Below are 21,391 nucleotides of genomic sequence, written 5' to 3'. Positions count from 1 at the left end.
TGAGTGGTCTAAAGAGCGTAGATTCTATAAATGCAAGACTTCAGACTTCTTTACTAGATTTTCAGTAAATAAAATTTTAAGCTCATCCCTATTTGTTACCAACACAGGTCATATTATAATTCTAAGAAGAATATTTGGTACCCACTGAATCTGATTGTTTTGAGGATACTGCCCATGGTATTTGCTGCCATTGGGCATTTGCTGCCATGGCATTTGCCATGGCATTTGCTGCCATTGCAATCTCATTTTCTTCTTCCGCATCGGATTTCTAACTCATTTGCCTCTGAAGGAGTATCTTTAACATTATAATTATATTCCAGTATGTGAATTTTTAATTTTCTGAAAAGGTGTAAGGCAGTCAAAGTGGTATAATGGAACGTTTCCTAGATTGGTAGAGGAGGCCTAAGCCTGGCTCTGCCATTCCTGATCTGTAAGAACTCTGGGTTTCAGCCCCCTTAACTGTAAGATGAAGGGGCTAAACTAATGGCGTACAAATTCCTTTCAAGCTATGTGATTCAGTGATATGAAATTGGAGCTTTTGCTGTTTAATTTTCCACTGGTGTCTGAGATTCTCCTTTAGGATTCCCTGACTCTGAAATAAGTCAAATACAAAAATCATGATGATTAAGTTACTCTGGACACTCTCTTTTCTTTATATAAGTTTAAACTGCACAATTCTAGCTTTTTAAAATGAAATTTGAGGGAAATCCACAGCAAGAAAGCTCTTCATTAACATGCATTGCATAAGCAGCTATGGCGGCCTACTCTTCTCCATTATTAACATATACCATAGTTTGTGAACTTCATTGGTGAATGCCCCAAGTATCGGGAAGCCCTCTGGGTAAAGCCCAGCGTAGCACGTTTAATGTTAAGAGTTGGTGTCATCCTAATCAGCTGCCTCTGACAGAGTAAACATGGTTCTGTCTGTGCTGTCCCTCCCTGGCTAGCTGTGGGTTTCCAGCCCACTGAGCACTTGATGCCAAGCAGTCTGTTAAGGGACAAGGAAGAGACTCTTTGGGGCTCTCTGGTATTTATCACTATTTAGGAGACTTGAGGTTCAAAGGGCCAGGATTCATAGGTACCAGTGTTATTCTAAATATTTGATCAAGTACCTGTTGAGGGATTTTCTTTTGGCCTTTTGTCTTTAGTATAAGAGGACTCTCCCATTCTGCCCAGGTATATTTAGTAACTCTGTTTTTTGTGTAGCTAAATATAGTTCAAAGACCCAGCATTAGGATCAACACAGTTGGAATTTTTTTTCAAGTCAATAGGTCTTGATTTATTAACGAACTCTAAGACCAAAGGGTGATATTCTTCATATAAGGAACTCTGCTTCTAGACAAATGAATCAAATCGCTTTTTAAGTACAGACTCTTAAAATAGTAAATTATATTTAAAATCAATTGTTAAAAATGATTGTTTCCTGAGCTGAAATGTATAAATAAAAAAATGGAAACCTAAATGTAGAAATAAGTGTGTAGACACACACTCATGACTCTATATATTAAGGAGATACGGTGGCAGAGTGAGAGTGTGTACTGGTCAAAGAAAATTATGATATAAATAACCAAGGAGGGTTTTTGTGAAGATGATTAGAAATTAACTGTATCTTCTGATTCTTCTATTTTTGTTACATAAACATGAAAATGTTCTTAAGTTTAATGTTATGAAATTTTCCAGTTCAGTATTTTCTGTATCTAACTTGATTAAACATGTTAATTTTTTCATAATTAGAAAAATTACTATTTTATAATGATGTGCTAATTATAAACCAGTTGGAAATTTTCTGTAAAAGTGTTTTATTTTAAAAGTGATTGGAAAGGTAATATGATACTTCTTGCAGGAAGCAGTTCCTGTACACATGTACAAGTATATGAAGGTATCCAGCCTCATATGAAATGTTTTTCATGAGGGTAATAACTGTAGCACTAAGGGTAGCACTCAGATGATGATAATAACAATAACAATTCTTTAAGAAGGACATATTAAGCTAAGCTGCTTTATGCATAAAATATTCATGTATATATCTACTTATGTTTACAGAAACTTAAAATATTAGAATGTTAGACCAACAGCAATAAAATACTTGGAAAAGGTACAAAAGGAATATCTAATGAATTTTAGTCTTCCTTGGGGAATTTAGAAGAGACAACTTTTATTAATATTATTTGAAAAATAATTGATTTCGTGTTAAAAAAATGCCTTTTAGATTTTGTTGTTGTTGTTAATGATGTAACTATTTCCTATTTGGTTTCAGTGTATCTGGGTCCATTCCCCACTGAAGAGAGTAAAGGAATTTTCACGGCTCTTTTGGAAATGTATATCCAAATATATTGTGGTAAAGAATGTATCTGAGGCACTATCACCGTGGTTTGAGTGGATTATTGGCCTCAGAGCACTGTAGAAATTGACAATTGTGGTACCTGATTGAATTTTTTTCCCCTGTAAAAATCTGAGGGAACATGAACTTGTTTGCCATGTTTAACCTATATTATACAGAAGATGGATTGCCTTTAATCTGCACAATAAAGCTTATAATTATATATTGCAACCTATGCATCAGAGAAGTGATCTTACTTGAAAAATTTAAACATTTTTCTGGAACCTGTCATGGTAACATTGAAAGGATTAAATAAATGTGCTGTGTTTTTTAAGTATGAAAAATTTTAATTGTAAAAAAATTCTGAGAATTAGGCCAGTCATAGGAAAAATGCAAAACCACACTTGAGAGGTAAAGAACAATTTCTAGTAGTCACTATAATAACTTTTATCAGGTAAAGAGCATTGAAAAAAATTTAAATATATTTTTGTTGTCCACCTTATGTAAAATTATTTTTTGTGCCGAAAATTCTATTTTGCTATTCTTAGTAACAAGCAAACAACATAAATTTTAAGTGAGAATCCATAAAAATTCTATACTTTCTGAGATCTGTAAAATATCAGTTTTGCTTACTGGAGGGGTTTAATGCTGTTTAATATACTTTTCTCTTTACAATTAAATTAGATGTTTTTTTTAGAGGAGAAAAACTCATAAAGGAAACAGCCTTGGAGATGTAATATGTTCTAACATATTTAAATAATTAGACTTCTGTCTCATTGAAATGTATGTGCTCTAGGTTGGGTAGTGATAAAAGCATGAATATTAGTATGATTAGGAAATTACATCATGTCACAGCGTAATTGATTGATTGATAGCTGAATGAAAACTAACCATAAAGCATGTGAAAATAAATGTGTGTGCTGCAGTTACTCAGGCAGAATTTTTGCATCTACCCAGTTACAAGATTAGTAACTGAAATGTTCATCTTCCAAACAAATGGAATTGATATTTCTTCCTTTTGCTTGTGCCTGTGTATGCTTTCATTCTAATACTGGCAAGGAAAAGAATAAGAGGATTTGAAGTGCTTAGTGCTCAATTCAGTATTTAATTGTTCTTTAAGACTTGTCAGATGGGCACCACATTACTAATTGACTCTGTGAGCAATTAGTGTTTTGGAATTTACCTTTCTGAGCTTCAAGTTTTAAATGTAAAGCCCCACTAAAACCTAAGAGTTAATACTCTCTTACTTGTCCCTGGAGAATTGCATTTCCCAAACATTTAAATTACCATTAATTTTTAAAAAGCATTTTGCCTTTTTTCTGCTTGTGTTTTTACTTTCTCATTCTCTGTCTTGATCTTTTAAAGATTCCTGCTCATACAAGTCTTTGGCGACTCTCACACTAGCGTAGAAGGGCTGGAGAAGCAAGACCACGGCAGGATTCCGTTTCAAAGCTGAACCAATATTCACCATTGACATATTCATTCATCTGTGCAGGGTCATTGGAAATCCTCTCTCTCTAGTTTTTCCTTCCCTTCAGGGAGCAATGCTTAAAAGAGCAAACCCCTGGTGTGAAGAGATAGGAGAATTCTCAGCACAGCCAATGGTGCCAGGAATCGAATTAAAGTTGTCCATTTGCAGATGACTGTCTATTGGAGATCCCAGCACACAGAGGCACCGTGCTTTCTGCTGATGCTTTGTTTACTTGAGATTCTGTCAGTGGCACTTCAATTTTATTTTTTTATGGCAAAAGTCACATCCTGCCTAAAATATGTCAGAAGACCAAAAACACTAGGATACATATTGGTCTGTAGAGTTACTTACATAGCATTTTACTCTATTTCCAAGGCTTGCTCAAGGAAAAATAAAAATTTTAAAGCCTTATGTGCATGTGCAAGAAAGGATTGTGCTTCACATTCTAATAGCAAAAAAAAAAAAAGTTAAATAATTACTGAATTCACTCTTCTTTTTTGAGAAGCCAAAAACTTGTCATTTATTCTGCAATTGTTGACATTCCCAGATCTATTTTGGCATAAATCTCATTTTGATATGACTGAACCTACAATTTTGTCTATCTTCACATGCATTATCTCTTCTAAGTGAGAGGCACTAAGAAGACATGAGTTGCCATTAAATCTTAGATGCCAGAAGTCAGCACTGAGTATGTTTTCTCCAGTTTGATTTCCTTTGCTAGCATAGGAGATGCTGCCATGATTTAATTTATTAGGCAAAGTAAAAAACTGTCGTAATTAGATTTGTGGGAAGATTTTTTTAAACCCCCAGAAGAACATAAACTCTTTAGGAGATGAATATTTAGAATGCATGGTCTCTTTTCAAGTTCCAGAGAACCCAAGTATGTTTTAACAATTGCTAGTTTTGAGTTTGTAATTAGATTGCTACTGTTGCATTTCTTCTTTCACTTTAATTTTTCTCTGCTTTATTTGCAAATAGTGAATAGTCCCTCAATACACATTTACTGACAGAATGAATAAATGATGCTCTGTGTTCCGTTTTTTGTTTGTTTGTTTGAGACGGTGTCTCACTGTGTCGCCCAGGCTGGAGTGTAGTGGTGTGATCTCGGCTCACTGCAACCTCTACCTCCCAGGTTCAAGCAATTCTCATGCCTCAGCCTCTCAATTAGCTGGGACTACAGGCGCCTGCCACCACTCCTGGCTAATTTTTTGTATTTTCAATAGAGATGGGGTTTCACCATGTTGGCCAGGCTGGTAGTGAAAGTGTTTCTTTTTCCTTTATAATTAAGAGTGTTTTATTTTTCTTAATATCTTATTTTATTTATATATTTATATATGAACAGACATATGCTTTACTTGGTAAATTCTATTTAATATTACAGTTAGTTTTCCTCTGGATTCAAGTCTTACATACATCCCTAGTGTTATGTTTGGGAAAATGGAGGGGATATATTTACCATCAATTTCTATTACCCATTCAAATACTTACCAAAAGCAAGCTATTGTGCAGTTGCTCATCCATACCATCTTCATTATAATATCACCATTAGAGTCGGGAGCAGTGGCTCACGCCTGTAATCCCAGCACTTTGGGAGGCTGAGGCAGGCGGATCACCTGAGGTTGGGAGTTCGAGACCAGCCTGACCAACATGGAGAAACCCCGTCTCTACTAAAAATACAAGATTAGCTGGGCTTGGTGGCACATGCCCGTAATACCAGCTACTCGGGAGGCTGAGGCAGGAGAATCACTTGAACCCAGGAGGCAGAGGTTGCGGTGAGCCAAGATCGCACCGTTGCACTCTAGCCTGGGCAACAAGAGCGAAACTCCGTCTCAAACAAACAAACAAACAAAAAATCACCATTAGAAACAAGGGGTATGCAGTTTTAAAAGAGAGGTAGTGTTGTAGCAAACAGTTTAATCTAACTAAGCACCTTACACAAAAGAGAAAATCTACAGTAACAGTCAAGCTTGTAAAACGGCAAGCTGTATTCTAAAGCAACCCAGAACTGATCCTAACATATCAACCACAATGAATAATCTATGTCATCATTGTAACAGCATGCTACACTACTGATTTTGGAAGTACCTACTACTCTCTTTAGATTTCTTGAAAAACACTTTATAGCATGACTCTTCTCAAAAATGGTGAAACAAAAATAAACTATCTTTATGGCTATCCATCTATATATCTTTCTTTATACATATCTATCTTTTTTTTAATCCAAGTTATGTTAAAGATCAGTTCCCTCTGATGCAATTAAGCCATTCTTTTCATTTTCTTTAGTGATCTAGACCTTTCTTAAAAATGTCATATCTGGTTATCCTCAATATAAAATAACCCATCAAAGTTACCATGGTGCAACCTTACTTAAATATCAGTCTGTGCCCTCTAACCATTAGATATCAAATATCATTTAGACCAGTCATGGTATACGCTCTGTTAATAGAGTTTTACAAATAGGATGCAAATGATGTGATTTAATCTATAACAAATTTTAAATCCTACTTACAATGTTTGTTTCTAATATGTGGTTACCCATATAAGGTTTTTATTTTATTTTATTTTTGAAAAAGGATCTCACTCTGTCGCCCAGGCAGGAATGCAGTAGTACAATCAGCTCACTGCAGCCTCAACCTCCTGAGCTCAAGCAATCCTCTCACTTCAGCCTCTTGAATAAATGAGACTGCAGGCATGCGCCACCATACCTGGCTAATTTTTAAAATATTTTTGTAGAGATGAGGTCTTACTATGTTGCCCAGACTGGTCTCTAGCTCGTAGGTTCAAGTGATCCTCCTACCTTGGCCTTCCAAAGTACTGGAATTACAGGTGTGAACCACTACACCCAGCCCATATAAGACTTTTAAACATAATATTTAAATATACAGCTTAGATATTTGGTAGTGATTTTATTACATGAGAGTCTTATTCAGTAGCATTTCTAATATATTCTAATGATGTCTTGTTTATTATTTTGTGAGGGCTACATCAATTAATATTATAATTATCAAGTACACTTGAAATTAAGCATACACATAGTAGGTATTAATAGCAAATATCAATCATTCTGAATTTATAAACAGCAACAGGTATTATTTAGCTAAATAGTGACTTTTCTATGTTTGAGGAAAATTTAGTAGGGCAGGTTGTTTGTCACTAGATTTTTTTAAATTATTTTCTTTCTTGTTTATTGAGCACATACTCTATGTAAAATACAGTTCAAGGTACTGGGAACATAAAATGAAAAAGACAGCCTAGTAGTGAAAGAGACTAACACATAAACAAACAGTTTTCAAACAACAGAGTAAGTGCCAAATTTGGCTGAGGAATTCTTACCTAGCGATTTATTATAAGAGAGTTATAACACTCCTCTTAAGTTCCAAAAATATTCTAATGCATATGTATGTGTAACTGTTCATCAGTCTAATAAATGAATGCTATGCTATAGAGGATTCATGTTTACTTATCACAGGTAATTTTGTGGAACAAAATGTGCACTGTAGCATCATTATTACAAGTTCATAGATTTTGGTAGACACACATACACACACAAAAATGCTAACTACAAAGAGCAGAGGAAAAAGATAAGCGACCTCAGGGACCTCATAGTATAATGAGAGAGCCCAGTGTTGCAGTTTGGCTGTGGTGTAGATGGCCCAGGAAATAAAAAATGGTGTAGAGTGAGGAAGAGCATTAGAAGCAAAGGGTTCAGCATATACAAAGATATAAAGTATGAGAAAGTCTAAGTTACTCCTATAAAGTTAGTAGCATATACAATATACTCTCAATTTATGAAATAGAAATACCTACAGAAATTCAAAATATATTAAAGTGGTCAAGGGAAAATGAAGACTTGGCATGAAAAATGACTTGAATAGAAGTCATAGCTATATAATAATAGATAATGGTCACTTTATTTATGTTTAAGTATTTTCCATATTTTAATACAATATGCTGGTATTTTAAAACCTGGGAAACTGGTTTTTATGTTTTCTTTTTTTAAAGTGAGCCAAACACACACACACACACACACACACACACACACACGCATACATACGTACAGAAAAGAATTGGAATGAAAAGCACATGAAAATCTGAGAGACTGTGCTGAAAAGAGTTGAAGCTGACCTAAAGCATTGGCAAAGGAATGAAGAAGAGGGATTTGATTTTAGTGTTTAAGAGATAAATTGAGACTTTCTCATTGATTGAATGTAGGGTGGAAAGGGAAAAGCTAGAATGCCTGGGTAGTTGGTGAGTTCACTTTGTACATGTTCAGTTTGTGCCCATCAGGTAGGCAATTGAATAGATAGATTCATTGAATCGATAGGTTCTGGAGCTCTAGAGTGAGATCTGAACCAGAGGTTGAGACTTAGGAGTCATAAACAAGAACTTCAGCCATACATGAGGTCTCTAGAAACAGTATATGAGGTCAGAAGAAAATTTTACGGTTTAATTTCGCATTTAAAATTTTCTATCCCCAAAGGTCAGTACAATACCAAATCTAGTTCTGTTCATTCTGGGACTCTGTCAATGCTAGTTAGAAAGACAAGGCTTCTGTGAGTTGGAAAGAAACCTGGAAATCCTCTAGGCAGCAATATCCCTGAAACAGGTTTGTGGAGGAAGCTGTAAGTGCTTGAGCTGGAAGAGCAAGACTGCCTGGTTTCGAATCCTGGCTCCTACGCATATTAGCTGTGTGACTTGGCCAAGTTACTTAATCTCTTGCTACTTTAGTTTATTTATTTGAAAGATGGAAATAATATAGGACGTTGAGGAATAAAAGATTATAAATATGTAAAGCACTTAGAACATTTCCTGGCCCGTAGAAAGTGGAACAAAAGTTAGCTATTGTTATTATTCCCCTTATACACATCTAACTATAGAGAACTTAATACTTCATAACTATAATTGTTTGGGGAAATTATTACTATGTTATTTTTATTTTTTATTATTTTTGAGATTGGGTCTCATTCTGTTGCTCAGGCTGGAGTGCAGTGGTCCACTCATGGCTCACTGCGGCCTCCAGTTCCCAGGCTCAAGCAATCCTCCCATCTCAGCCTCCCCAGTAGCTGGGACCATAGGTGCACACGACCACACCTGGCGAATTTTAAAAGGTTTTTTTTTGGTAGCTATGTTGCTCAGACTGGTCTCCAACTTCTGGGCTCCAGCAATCCTCCTGTCTTGGCTTCCCTAAGTGCTTGGATTACAGGCATGAGCCACCCAACCTGGCCTAGGAAAATTATTTTTAGGAAAAATAACACAGTAAGTTATTGTCAGGATTAGGAAAGGAATCTAAATCTTTTAATCATAAATTAGTAGTGAAAGGATCAGAGAGCATTTTGTATTATGCTTCTGAAATCTACCCGCCTGTAACTTCTCATTATTTCTCTTTAGTTCTTTCTCCTAGAACACCAAAGAGGAACTCCTTCTGGCATAGTTCCTAGAAAGTAACATAGTGTGCTTGTGGCTTTTCTTACATTATCTCATTTAATCCTCTGAACAAACTTTCAAGGAAGTTGTTTTTATCCCCACATTCCATGCACCTGGAATCCCTGCACAAATAACCCTGAGGCTACTTCCAGTGCCCATGCAGGGATCTCCAGGTCTCTCCCCGCAGGTTTGGAAAGTGACCTCAATGTATGTACTCCTAGAACCAAGGTGAAGCCAAGTGCCAGCTGGTTGAAAGTCGGGGGATAGCAGAGAACAGATGGAATCTTGTTCTAAAGCACACATGTTAAGCCTTTATGCTATGGGATGGTAGAGAGTGAGAGCAAAAGAACTGGCAATAGGTTAGCCTCTCCCATTCTGGAAGAGCTCTGATGACCCAGGAGTTAGAAATTCGATATTTGAACCCACGCTTTCCAGGTGTAATCCTCAAGATAGGGAGATAAATATATTTTGTTAAACATTTTTTGCCAAGTGTATAACTTTTAAAATACTTTATTACTTTTTAAATACCTTAAATATATTTTTTATTTTTATATATTTTTTGAGATGGAGTTTCGCTCTTCTTGCCTAGGCTGGAATGTAATGGCACAATCTCAGTTCACTGCAATCTCTGCCTCCTGAGTTGAAGTGATTCTCCTGCCTTAGCCTCCCAAGTAGCTGGGATTACAGGCACGCGCCACTATGCCTGGCTAAGTTCTGTATTTTTAGTAGAGACGCGGTTTCACCGTGTTGATCAGGCTGGTCTCGAACACCTGACCTCAGGTGATCCACCCACCTCGGCCTCCCAAAGTGCTGGGATTACAGGTGTGAGTCACTGCGCCCAGCCTACCTTAAATATTTAGACATATGTATGTGTTAGAGTCTGCATGATACATATAGCACCAAGTTTTTGTGGATATTCTTATCACTGGAGATGTAGCTGCGAACAAAATAAATTACCTTCCCTGTTCTAATGATATGGATTCCTGGTCTCAAAGAGATTAGTCTAGTAGGGGGTACATTTGAAGTAGGAATATAAAATGCAGTGTAAAAATACATAAAAACAAAATGCAGTATAAGTACAAAGTGATACGGAAAATGGTGGAAAGGGAGGGAAGGGACCAAAGTCTCAGACAGGTTCCTAGAAGAAAGGGGAGAGGACAAGGGGAGGGATAAAGAGGAGAGAAGTGGGAGGGGAGCTGGAGGAGAACGCTCAAGCTAAGAGTAGGGTACGTTAACCTGAAATAGCTTATCTTAGGGAATCAGGTATCTTACTACCCAAACAAGGATAGTTTAGCATTCTAATTTCTAAATAAGATTTAAATGGATGATAAACTTGGAGAACAAAGTTCGCATCATCCATCAACACATTAAATGCTTTTAATTCTTAAGCCCTCCCTTTCTTTGTGCAAATACATGCTTACGTTATGTATCACATGATATATAGTAGGCATAGATACGAAAATATTTAGAATACTAAATCCATAACAGTCTTAAGAATTAGCTAATAAAACGTTATGGGATCTTTTGATACACCAGTGAAACCAGCAGGGATTCAAATGTTGTAAAATGGGTATGAACTGCAAATTCACCCTTTTCCTAACTCGAGCTCTGCTTCCCACATAGTTGCCCTCCTAGAATAACTCTCCTGCCGTTAAGAGCTCAACTCGTAAACTCAAAGGAAAAAAGTAAGACCCAAAGCTATACCACAGGAAGAATTCTCAGTCACTTAATCATTTCTTTTGTTATGAAATAGGAAGATTATAATAGGATAGCAATGTATTTGTGTTTAGGGCTGAGAGGAGTATGATGAAGACGAAACCTGTTTAATATTGTAAATACATTTTCCAATCTTTAATAGTTCTAAATGAAATGGGATTTTTTTAATTGAGGGAGAGATAATAAAAAGTTGTTTCAGGCAGTAGTCATTTCTTTCCATATAGATTTATGTATTTATTCAAAAGCTATGTCTTCCTGAAAACTGAAAGTCTTATTAAATATTTTAGTAATGACTGACAATCATCATTCCCCCCCCCCTTTTTTTTGTACAAATCCTTGCTAAATCTGGGAATGCAGTTGTCAGTTAGGCCTATGTTTCAAGGGTGGCTCTTTCTTGTCATATATAGCAATAGAAAGGTTGTCCACTGTGGCTTGCAGGTGGTGATTTTCTCATGGTGGTGATGAGTTTGCCTTGATCTTTCCGCATTGCCTTTCACCTTGACCCTCCTTTTGGCCAGGGTTTGCACCTGCCTGGTGTTGGGGACTCAATCAATACATATGGAATAGGACATGAACATAGGTCTACTGACTGGCTCATAGGAAGACAGAAGTGCTAACTGACTCCTAAACATGTCTTCAGAAAAATGAAAGGAGATCCAGAAAACAAATGGATTCTACCTGCCCTTTAGCTCCTTCCTACCCATCTCAAACAAAGAAGTGCCTCTTTCTGCTGGGTGCAGTGGCTCATGCCTGAAATCCTAGCACTTTAGGAGGCTGAGGTGGGAGGATTGCTTGTGTCTAGGAGATTGAGACCAATCTGGGCAATATCATGACACCTCGTTTCTACAAAAAATAAAAAAGTTTGCTAGGCATGGGTAGCATGTGCCTGTCTGTATTCCTGGCTACTTGGGAGGCTGAGGTGAGAGGATTGCCTGAGACCAGGAGGTTGAGGTTGCCGTGAGCCAAGATTATACCACTGCACTGGACTGGATGATAGAGCAAGACCCTGTCAAAAAAAAAAAAAAAAAAAAAAAAAAAAAAGTGCCCCTTTCTTCACCCTATGTTGGTCTGAAACATACATCCTCTTGATGCCATCTCTTTGTTTTTTCTTGAAGAATCTGTTCCATCAATTCTCACCCATGCCTCATTCATACAGTATTGTGTCTTTTATTTATCCCTTTCCACTATTTCTTTCCCCTCAGCCTAGAGCAAGGATTGGTAGACTTCCTGGCAAGGGATAGACGGTAAATATTTCTAGATATGTGGGCCATATGGTCTCTGCCACAACTATTCATCTCTACTTGTAGCTAGAAAGCAACCATAGATAATACATAAACAAATGGGTGTGGCTGTGTTCCAATACAACTTTATTTACAGAAGATATCACACTGGATTTGGCCTGCTAGATTTGACGTAGTTTACTGACTATGGATAATGATCAGATTTTCCCCCATATCCTTTAAAAAAATCCCCCGCTCCATCTTTGCTCCTTAACCTACAGCCCATCTTTCTTAAGATGGTTATCAATGAGGAAAATCCTCTAATGCTTGCCATCTCACTTTCTCACAACCCCTTTCCTCCATCACCAACTCACCATGACGTCTGATCCCACCTTGCATTGATATTGCTCTCCCACAAATCAGCTCTAGTCTGTTCATTGCCTGTTTTCTTTCCTAATCATACTTGACTTCTCTGATGTATGTGCTACAATTAAACACTCTGTCTGAAAATCCTCACTTGTCTTTTCCAACAGCGTGTTCTCTACTTTATTTTTTCTCTTTGTACTCTGTAAATGCCTTTCCAATCCTCATTTCCTACTCCTTAAAATTTGTATAACCGAAGAGTTTTATTCTTATCTCATTCTACACACTTTCTCTCTACTCTGTCTTCCATTACCATAGTTTCAGTGGATTCCCATATGCTTAAGACTCCCAAACCTCCTTGTAAAGCTTGGACTTCTCTTCATCTTTCCAGCAGCCAACCCATTGCTTGTACAAGCTAAAACTCTTCCAGTAGTTCTCCAAGGAGAGACAAATTGTAGCAATTTGGGGGCACATGTTCCAGGTTGCAACTTTAGCTCTGGGCTGGCCTTAAGAAAGTTCCTTAGATTCAGGGAAGCTGCTTCATCATATATAAAGGGTAATAAAAATCCCTCCCTGGGCTTTTTGAGGATTAAATGCAGTATCCACCACAATCTCTTTGTTAGCCAATGGACAGATATGTCACAATTTTTTTTTAAATTTTTCCAGTGATTTCCTTTAAATGCCCCCTTTCCTTTCCTTCATTCCTCCAAATATAATTGGTTAGCCCATCCTTTTGACTCTACCTCTGAAATCTTTTGTGGAGTTTTTTCCTTCCTCTTGCTTAAGTTTAGACCCTGCTTATTTGTCCCCTCGAATTTGTCCTGTATATCTTTATTATTGATACATTGCTTAAGAACAAATCAGAGCAGCACTTTATGTTGGCAGTAGGATAAAGTCCAAACAGTCAAGTCCCTTTGCAATCTGAATTCAAGCTTCGTATGTACCTCTATCTGGTCCCCCCATGCATAGACATATACTTCTGTCCTATCTTCTAACGATATCAAACCACTCTGCTTCCAGAACCTGTCATGCATACTTGGCTTCATCGTGCTTTTGACCAACTTTTGTCAAGGGCAGGAAACCTCCTCTCTCTCTATTCTAAATGAGGAAGTTCTATTCAATGTCCAAGATCTACCTCAACTATTAGCTCCTCTGTATAGCCACCTCTCTCTATTAGATTTGGAACTGAGTGGGTTTTTTGTGCTAAATTTCCCCTGAAGATAGATTGCAAAGTCCATCAGAGCCAGAATGTATATTCCCTAGCACTATGGGCAAGATTCTCACATAATAGTAGGCATTTGGATTTATTAGAGCGTGATCACCATTTGTCATTTTTTAAACTGTGTAGCCAACTGATCCTATTTGTTTTTTCTAGTGATGGTAAAAGCTATCAAGATTCAGAGAGTCGAGGGCAGTGTTTTTGTATTCTAATTTTGAGACTTACAATATATTTTCTCTGTAACCTATATTCTCATAATTGATAAACTACTTGACAGCAGGGAAGAGAAGAAGGGAACTCACTGGCCCACATGCTAAAGCCAAAGGTGAGCAATGGGGGATAGTAAGCCTTCAACAGTGGAAGGTCTAGGAAAAGAAGTTGAATGCTCAGGTTTCACTTTGGCTTGTCTGTTTGCTTGTTTGTTTGTTTCATGGAAATATGTGGAAGGGTGTTTGCTTAATCTTTTTTAGTTCAGGAATATGGCAAGTGATGAAACTGGTAACGGGTAAGAATGGTAAGGCTGATACTTGGTATTGTAGGTCCTTCACAGTGTGAAGGATTAATAAGCTCTAATTCATTTTGAGAAGAAACTTGAGTATATTACTTCTCTGTATCTTTTGGCGGATGTCTGCATGATAGGGCCAAAAGCTCAAGCATAAAAACCCACTTCGTCCAAAAGTCTTACTTGATTAACATGCTCCCCATTACCGTTACCATTTTATTATGCCCAGTTGACCCATCCCTTGATTTATATGATCATATGTGTTATGCATTGTTTGTTCTCTGCACTAGAATCTGTTTCATGCATATATCCATCCTCCCTAGCTTGTGTTTCTCAAGTTAGAAATTAAAACTGCAAATTAAGTTGCAAATTCTACCAACTCTCTATATAACCCATGGTTAAATCCTGATGAAATAGCTGTTAACTAGGTGTTACTAGAAAGGGGTTCTGATCCAGACCCCAAGATAGGGTTCTTGGATGTCACGAAAGAAAGAATTCTGGGCGAGTCCATAGAGTAAAGTGGAAGCAAGTTTATTAAGAAAGCAAAGGAATAAAAGAATGGCTACTCCAAAGGCACAGCAGGAGTATAAGCTGTTCAATTGAGTATACTTATAGTCATTTCTTGATCGTATGCTAAACAAAGGGTGTATTATTCATGAGTTTTCTGGGAAAGGGTGGGCAGTTTCTGGAACTGAGGGTTCCTCCCCTTTTTAGACTATATAGGGTAATTTCCTGACGTTGGCAAGGCATTTGTAAACTGCCATGGCACTGGTGGGAGTGTCTCTTAGCATTCTAATGTATTATAATTAGCGTAGAATGAGCAGTGAGGACGACCAGAGGTCACTTTCGTCACTATCTCGGTTTTAGTGGGTTTGGCTGGCTTCTTTACCGCAACCTGTTTTATCAGCCAGGTCTTTATGACCTGTATCTTGTGCTGACCTCCTATCTCATCTTGTGACTAAGAATGCCTAACCTCCTGGGAATGCAGCCCAGTAGGTCTCAGCCTTACTTTACCCAGCCCTTATTCAAGATGAAGTTGCTCTAGTTCAGACACCTCTGACATAGATACTTAGTTTCTAACTAAAATTCATAACTAAAACTAAATTTATCATTATGGAAAGTTATTTTTAAAACCCACCAAAATGATTTTTATATTGTTATTATTATTATTTGACATCTTGTGGTCTCTTTTGTAATAAAAGCAAACATAGAAAGCATACATTCTCTTTTATAAAACATTCATACCTGACATGATTCATAAATAAATTTGTTTAAGGTTGTAAGAAGTCATAAGGCAATGAACCCTCTTAGTTTTTTGTTTATTTGTTTTTTAATAGTCTAGCTGTGAGTAACTTAATGATGCAGGATATAGGTTTTGTAGTAGTTTTATCCGCTGTTTTTTTCTTTTGTGATTCTTAATACAAATTTATTCAAGGCTTAAACAGGAAGACATTTTGATCTGAAAGCTATACCAATTCACAAGGGAATGAGTTTGGTTTCTTCTCTACTTTGTAATTCAAAGAAGTGCATTCCAAAAAATCAGATGAAACAAGTCATTAATTTGACAGTCTTGGTTCTCATGGCCCTATTGATTCAGAAAGCTGAAAACAGTTATGGAGGCTTATTGGCTTCAATTAGGAGTCGTGAAGCTTGTGAGGTTAGAAGAAAGAAAGGTTGCATTGGAAGAGGAATCATTCAGTAACAGAATCCTTCTTAACATTTTGTCATGAATGGGTATAAATTCTTGGTCTCTTGTTATTTTTTGTACTTTTTCATTTATTGATTCTCTTTATGGATTCATTTCAGAATGACCAGAGTCTCATTTCAAAACTGATTGTGTCATCTTTTGGGTTGCTTTTAGTAAGCAAAAGATATTTATGTTACCATGTGAGAGGTTTCATTCCATTACTACAAGCTGAAGAGCTTCGGATAAGACTGATTTAGTTGTCCTCCAAAACAATAAAAATGTTCAATTTCTTCTGTGTAATCATTATATATATATGCCTCAAGATATATTCTATTAATGGAATAATCAACATACATTTATAGATAATATATTTATTTTAGCACATGCATCATCTTGCATGGAAAAACTCTTGTCCTCAGAGGTATATAACAGTGGGTTTTTTTCTCCCTTATCAATAAGAAGCCTAGCTAACTCTCATGACCACCCTTAGTGCATATAAATAATATATAACCACAATATTGTCCTTTAATGTTAAGAGCTTAGTAAATAGTGCTGCAAAAAAGGAACAATCAGGGAGGAAAATGATATTCACATTTTTAACAACAATATCTAATAAAGCAATATAATGTTATTTATATCTGCTATTATGAAAAATTGACATTTCTTTAGTTGTTTCTTTCAGAATGTCCATTTTTTTAATGTTTTAGCTTAGTGATAGAAATGCCATTTTTCCTCTTAATGATAAGAATATATTTATATCTGGGATACATTTTCATGTATAATCCAATGACTGCAAGGCTTTTTTCTGAAGTATAGGAATACTGATGAAGAAAGACTTGATAGCTAATATCAATTATCAGTCATAAAATTCTTGGTTACCATTTGTTAACAAGTCCTAAGTTGAAAAACCTCTTGACTAAGTTGGCACTAGCCTAAAATTTGCTGTACAATGAATATAATCCAGCTCTAATAGAAGATAACTGTATTTCCAAGTATATTTAAAATAGAAAAAAAGAGATTATTGCAATAAATCTAACATCAAAGCAACCAATTCATGGAGCTTAATTATGACACTACTAAATGTGAAAATCTATTCAGCGCTAGGAACACTTTTCACATTACATTCACGCTAAAGATTGGCTGTTAAGAGCTCATTACTGGTATTTTTCTAAAGAGTGGTTTATTAAACACAGTTACCTAATAAGCATCTTTGGTGGTGCAAATTGCTGAAAACAGTAATGAGTCTGATTAGACTTCATTTCAATTACGACAGCTTGTCTAGGAAAAAAAAAAATATATATATATATATATGTATGTATATATAATCTTTCCTTGATGCTTTGGAATCCAGCTACAAGACACTGCAGAGTTTAAAACAGAAAAAGCCACCTCTGTATTTCCTTTCCACAGCTCACTAATGAAGAGAGAATTGTCCAAGTCATCATCCAATTTACACACTGGAAAACTGGATGGAAAAAGTGGAGTCACAATCATGTTTGCTTAAAAACAGCAAAGGCTGCCTTGACTAATATGTCTAAATAAGGTCACCTTTTGTGTCTCTCTTTTTTTTTTTTCTTTCTCTTCTTCTTAGGAATATAAAGCTATAAATGGGTAGAGACTTAAAAATGATTCATTCCTATTTGGTTTGTGGAGGTTATTCTCTAGATTAATAGGCTCACCTTTCAATTCTGTTTTATCCATGGATCTTCTACTTAAAATTATAACAATACAGGGAGCTATTGCACCATGCATGCTAATTATCAGACTAATTTTTAAAATACATATATTGGGTGGGAAAAAATAAAAGAAACAAAGCTTTACGAATGTGCACTAATATTTCAGAAAGCATAAGGGAATGTTCATTAGATGCCAAACTTGATTTTGATATTTTTAAAAGGTGTGTTATTTAGCTGTATTTAACAGGTAACCTCATATCAAATCATGCCTGAATATTAGTACTCAAATAGAAAAAAAAAACCTGTTAATGTAAAAAGCCTTTAAGTGATTAAGCTGTCATTGCTGTCATTTGGGTACTCTAGTAACATTTTAATGCTTCTGGAAGCTATGGCCAGGGATGCAATCCAATATTTTATGCTACATTTTTGAATAGATTTTTTTAGAGCATATTATTTGAAATTGAGCTAGATAAAATAATTTCTAAAGTAAAATATGAAAACAATGGCTGGGTGTAGAAGCACTAAATAAACAGAGGGCACAATACAACATCCTCACCAGAAAAATCTTCACAAGTTAGCTAAGTGATCATATAATGGCCAGAAGATTGAAAGTAAAGTACAAACAAAATTACAGTACTCTTAGTAGGCATTCTGGTGCTTTTAAAAAGATTTGCTTAAAAGGATACTGGTTCTAGGTATGTCAGTTCAAAAATTAGGAATTTACTTTTAGACCTATGACTCACCATTAATTCTATTAATTGTCTATTCTATTTTAAAAGGAGAACAGTATTGCATAGAAAACACAAACATAATTCTATAGTAATAATAGGGGTGCATTAATTATTTGCTTTTCCTGTAAACCTAGACCTTCCCAAAAATGGGTATTCAATTAAGGAAATCAGCATTCATCATATATTTTGAGATCACCAATAAGATATGGAGTTTTATAAGTGCAGAATTTCTTTAAGGTTTTTGACTTGGTTTAAGCCACAAATAATAAATATGTAGCCAAAGAAAACCTCAAATAATACTTAGTTTTGATAAAAATATGTGCATAAGTTAGTTAAATAATTTAGAATGTTCTTTGGTTTCTTGGATTATCTATAATAAAGCTAGTAAAGCATAGATCATTTTTAGGATAAAAACAGTTTTTAAAAATCTTTCTTCTGTCACTCTTTCCCTTATATTCTCTATAGCCTTTCCACAACTGCAGTCATAAGCTTACATATGCACATATCGGTACCCAGATTTGAATTTTTGTGTAGCCTACCTATATTATTTTATGGTTTTAGACAGAGTTGGGTTTTCGTGTTGCTTAGGGAATTTGTGTGCTATGAAGAGGCACATGATTTAAAGAGGTAGCAGGGAGAATTTGACTTACTCTTTTAATATAAACAAGTAAAACTAGCACACTTAAAATGAAATTTCTTTTAAATTATCTGGTAGTTCAAAAACGTGGCTGTGCTGAGTGCGGTGGCTAATGCCTGTAATTCCAGCACTTTGGGAGGCCTAGGTGGGTGGATCACTTGAGTCCAGCAATTTGAGACCAGCCTGGGCAACATGGTGAAACCCCATCTCTACCAAAAAATACACAATAATTAGCTGGGCATGGTAGCGTGAGCCTGTAGTCCCAGCTACTCTGCAGGCTGAAGCTGGAGGATCACTTGAGCCTGGGAGGTGGAGTTTGTAGTGAGCCAAGATCGTGCCACCATGCTCCAGCCTGGGTGACAGAGTGAGACCCTGTCTCAAATAATAATAATAATAAAATAAATAAATAATAAAAATGTGGCTGAAAAATATCCCCGTCTTCTAAAATTATTAGCAAACACTGCTACTTACCCATTACTAAAGAGGCCAGTAAAATAGTCATAATCATCAATAAGAAGTATAAAATTTTACAATAGTTTAGACCATCTGGAAGTAACAACATCTTTATGCCTTTAACTCCACCAAAAACAATATTGGGAGCAACTTTATTATTATTAATTTTTTTTGAGACAGTCTTACCGTGTCGCCGAGGCTGGAGTGCAGTGACATGATCTCAACTCACTGCAGCCATCATCTCCCCAGTTCAAGCTATTCTTGTGCCTCAGCGTCCCCAGTAGCATTACAGGCATTAACCACCACACCCAGCTAATTTTTGTAAAGAGCAACTTTAATTTTAGTTGCTATATTAGAGACAAAGTAAGCCCTGTTTATTTACAACAGAAGAGAATTGAGTTGGAATTAATTGGAGAACCATGAGCAAAAGAAGAGGAATCTGTATGTTTTTCATGTGATTAATACACACAGGACTGGATCAGCCATTTATTGAATTCAGCCAAAGCCTAAACTTTTTTTTAACATAATGGCATTTTGCATCATAACAGTAGATGAAATTGTGCAGAGATGGGATCTCAAGAAACAATTTCTTTACTTGCAGTCTCTCCTCCTGTTTCCCATGGGTTAGGTTGTTGGGCACCCTCTCCAGGAAAGGAAATGCCACTTCCTTTGAAGATGCTGATATCCTCTCCTGTTTCTGCTCATTATGCAGCATTCTTTGTTTTTACAAATGAAAGAGCCAACCGCGCTAATGACTGGACCGTCGTTCACACTGCACCTTAACAATGTTCAGTCTATCTGGAAATCAGAGGATCCCAATTATACGTGGTGCTCAGGTCTATTTCACCAGGTCTATTTCACTAGAAGGGGGCAGGGTGGGGAAAATGAAGAGGTGAGGAAACTACTGCTGTTGCTAAGAGCTTCTCACTTTTAATCCTAGGCTGTGCTGGTTGTATTCTAAATCAGTTTATCTTCTTACAACGTCTTATTTGGAAAAAAACAACACGTAACCTACCAAAACTCATTTCATATGTAGCTTTTTCCACTACTTTCATATCAAAGTTATTTTCTTCAGGCTGGACTAAATTATACACAGGTCCCAGGAGTGAAGGACACTGAATTAATGCACTATGTCACCCAGCCCTGACTATAGAATTTTTTTTCGAAGTCCAAGACACTATTTTGCTATTGCATTAAAAATTAATGCACGAATTGCCAAAAAGAGAAAAATGCATAAATAACCCAAACAAATTTTGTCTGGGCTTTGCATACTTTAGAGTCACCTAAAGCAAAGTTTTTAAGGAGAATGGTTGAACAGTTTTACCCTCAACATGTGAATAACATTCTTACTCTTTTGTCTAATTATATGAGACAGTGCTCAATCTTACATAAGCAGACTTATATATCTATTTTGTCTTATGTAAACTGTCTTTTTAGAGTATGGTTCCAGAGGAACACAGAGAAGTAGATGAATGCAAATTTCATTTTAAGCAAGGTTGTGGGGTTTGGAAGATTTCTTAATTTGTTTATTGACCGTTTTCAGCTTGGTGTGTTGGGCAAAACATGAATAGAGTTCAGTTTAAATATAACTAAATTGGGCTTTGCATTTAGATAGTTGAAATGGAACACACACACACACACACACACACACACAAATATTTACACAGAGTTATATGTGCACCTAGTGGTTAGTATACCATTTTAGGATTATGATTGATGAAATATACTAGCCATGTCATAATTCAAGGTTGGTATCATGCCAGATGTTTCTTAAATAAAAATGCAAATATATTTTGTACGGCAAAACAGTATTTTGAGAATCAACTGGAATAACCTCAGACTTTTAGGATGATGATAATTATTATCTCTGCAAAATATTTTAAAAAATAAAGATTCAAAACACTCAGAAAATGCAAAATACTTTTGGCATTTAGTACTCTGTTTATGGATCAATCATACAGGCTGGATGCTA

The 21,391-nt window shown here is 36.1% G+C and overlaps 1 protein-coding gene across 3 annotated transcripts in view, besides 1 other annotated feature; it reads left to right on the top strand.

Annotated features, from left to right (window-relative positions):
* Positions 1 to 21,391, top strand: part of FIGN (fidgetin, microtubule severing factor) — a 133,398-nt gene that overhangs the window by 94,084 nt on the left and 17,923 nt on the right. The gene's annotated exons all lie outside the window — the stretch shown is intronic.
* Positions 19,900 to 20,401: an enhancer, noted in NCBI's record as "NANOG hESC enhancer chr2:164478034-164478535 (GRCh37/hg19 assembly coordinates)". NCBI's record gives its function as "activates a minimal SCP1, AML or CMV promoter by ChIP-STARR-seq in primed H9 embryonic stem cells {active_cell/tissue: H9 hESC(primed)}" and the evidence as "EXISTENCE:reporter gene assay evidence [ECO:0000049][PMID:30033119]".

This window comes from Homo sapiens, chromosome 2 (assembly GCF_000001405.40).
Source record: "Homo sapiens chromosome 2, GRCh38.p14 Primary Assembly".
Classification (NCBI taxonomy): Eukaryota; Metazoa; Chordata; class Mammalia; order Primates; family Hominidae; genus Homo; species Homo sapiens.
The sequence above is the reverse complement of the archived record's forward strand: the minus strand, read 5'-3'. Positions and strand labels throughout refer to the sequence as shown.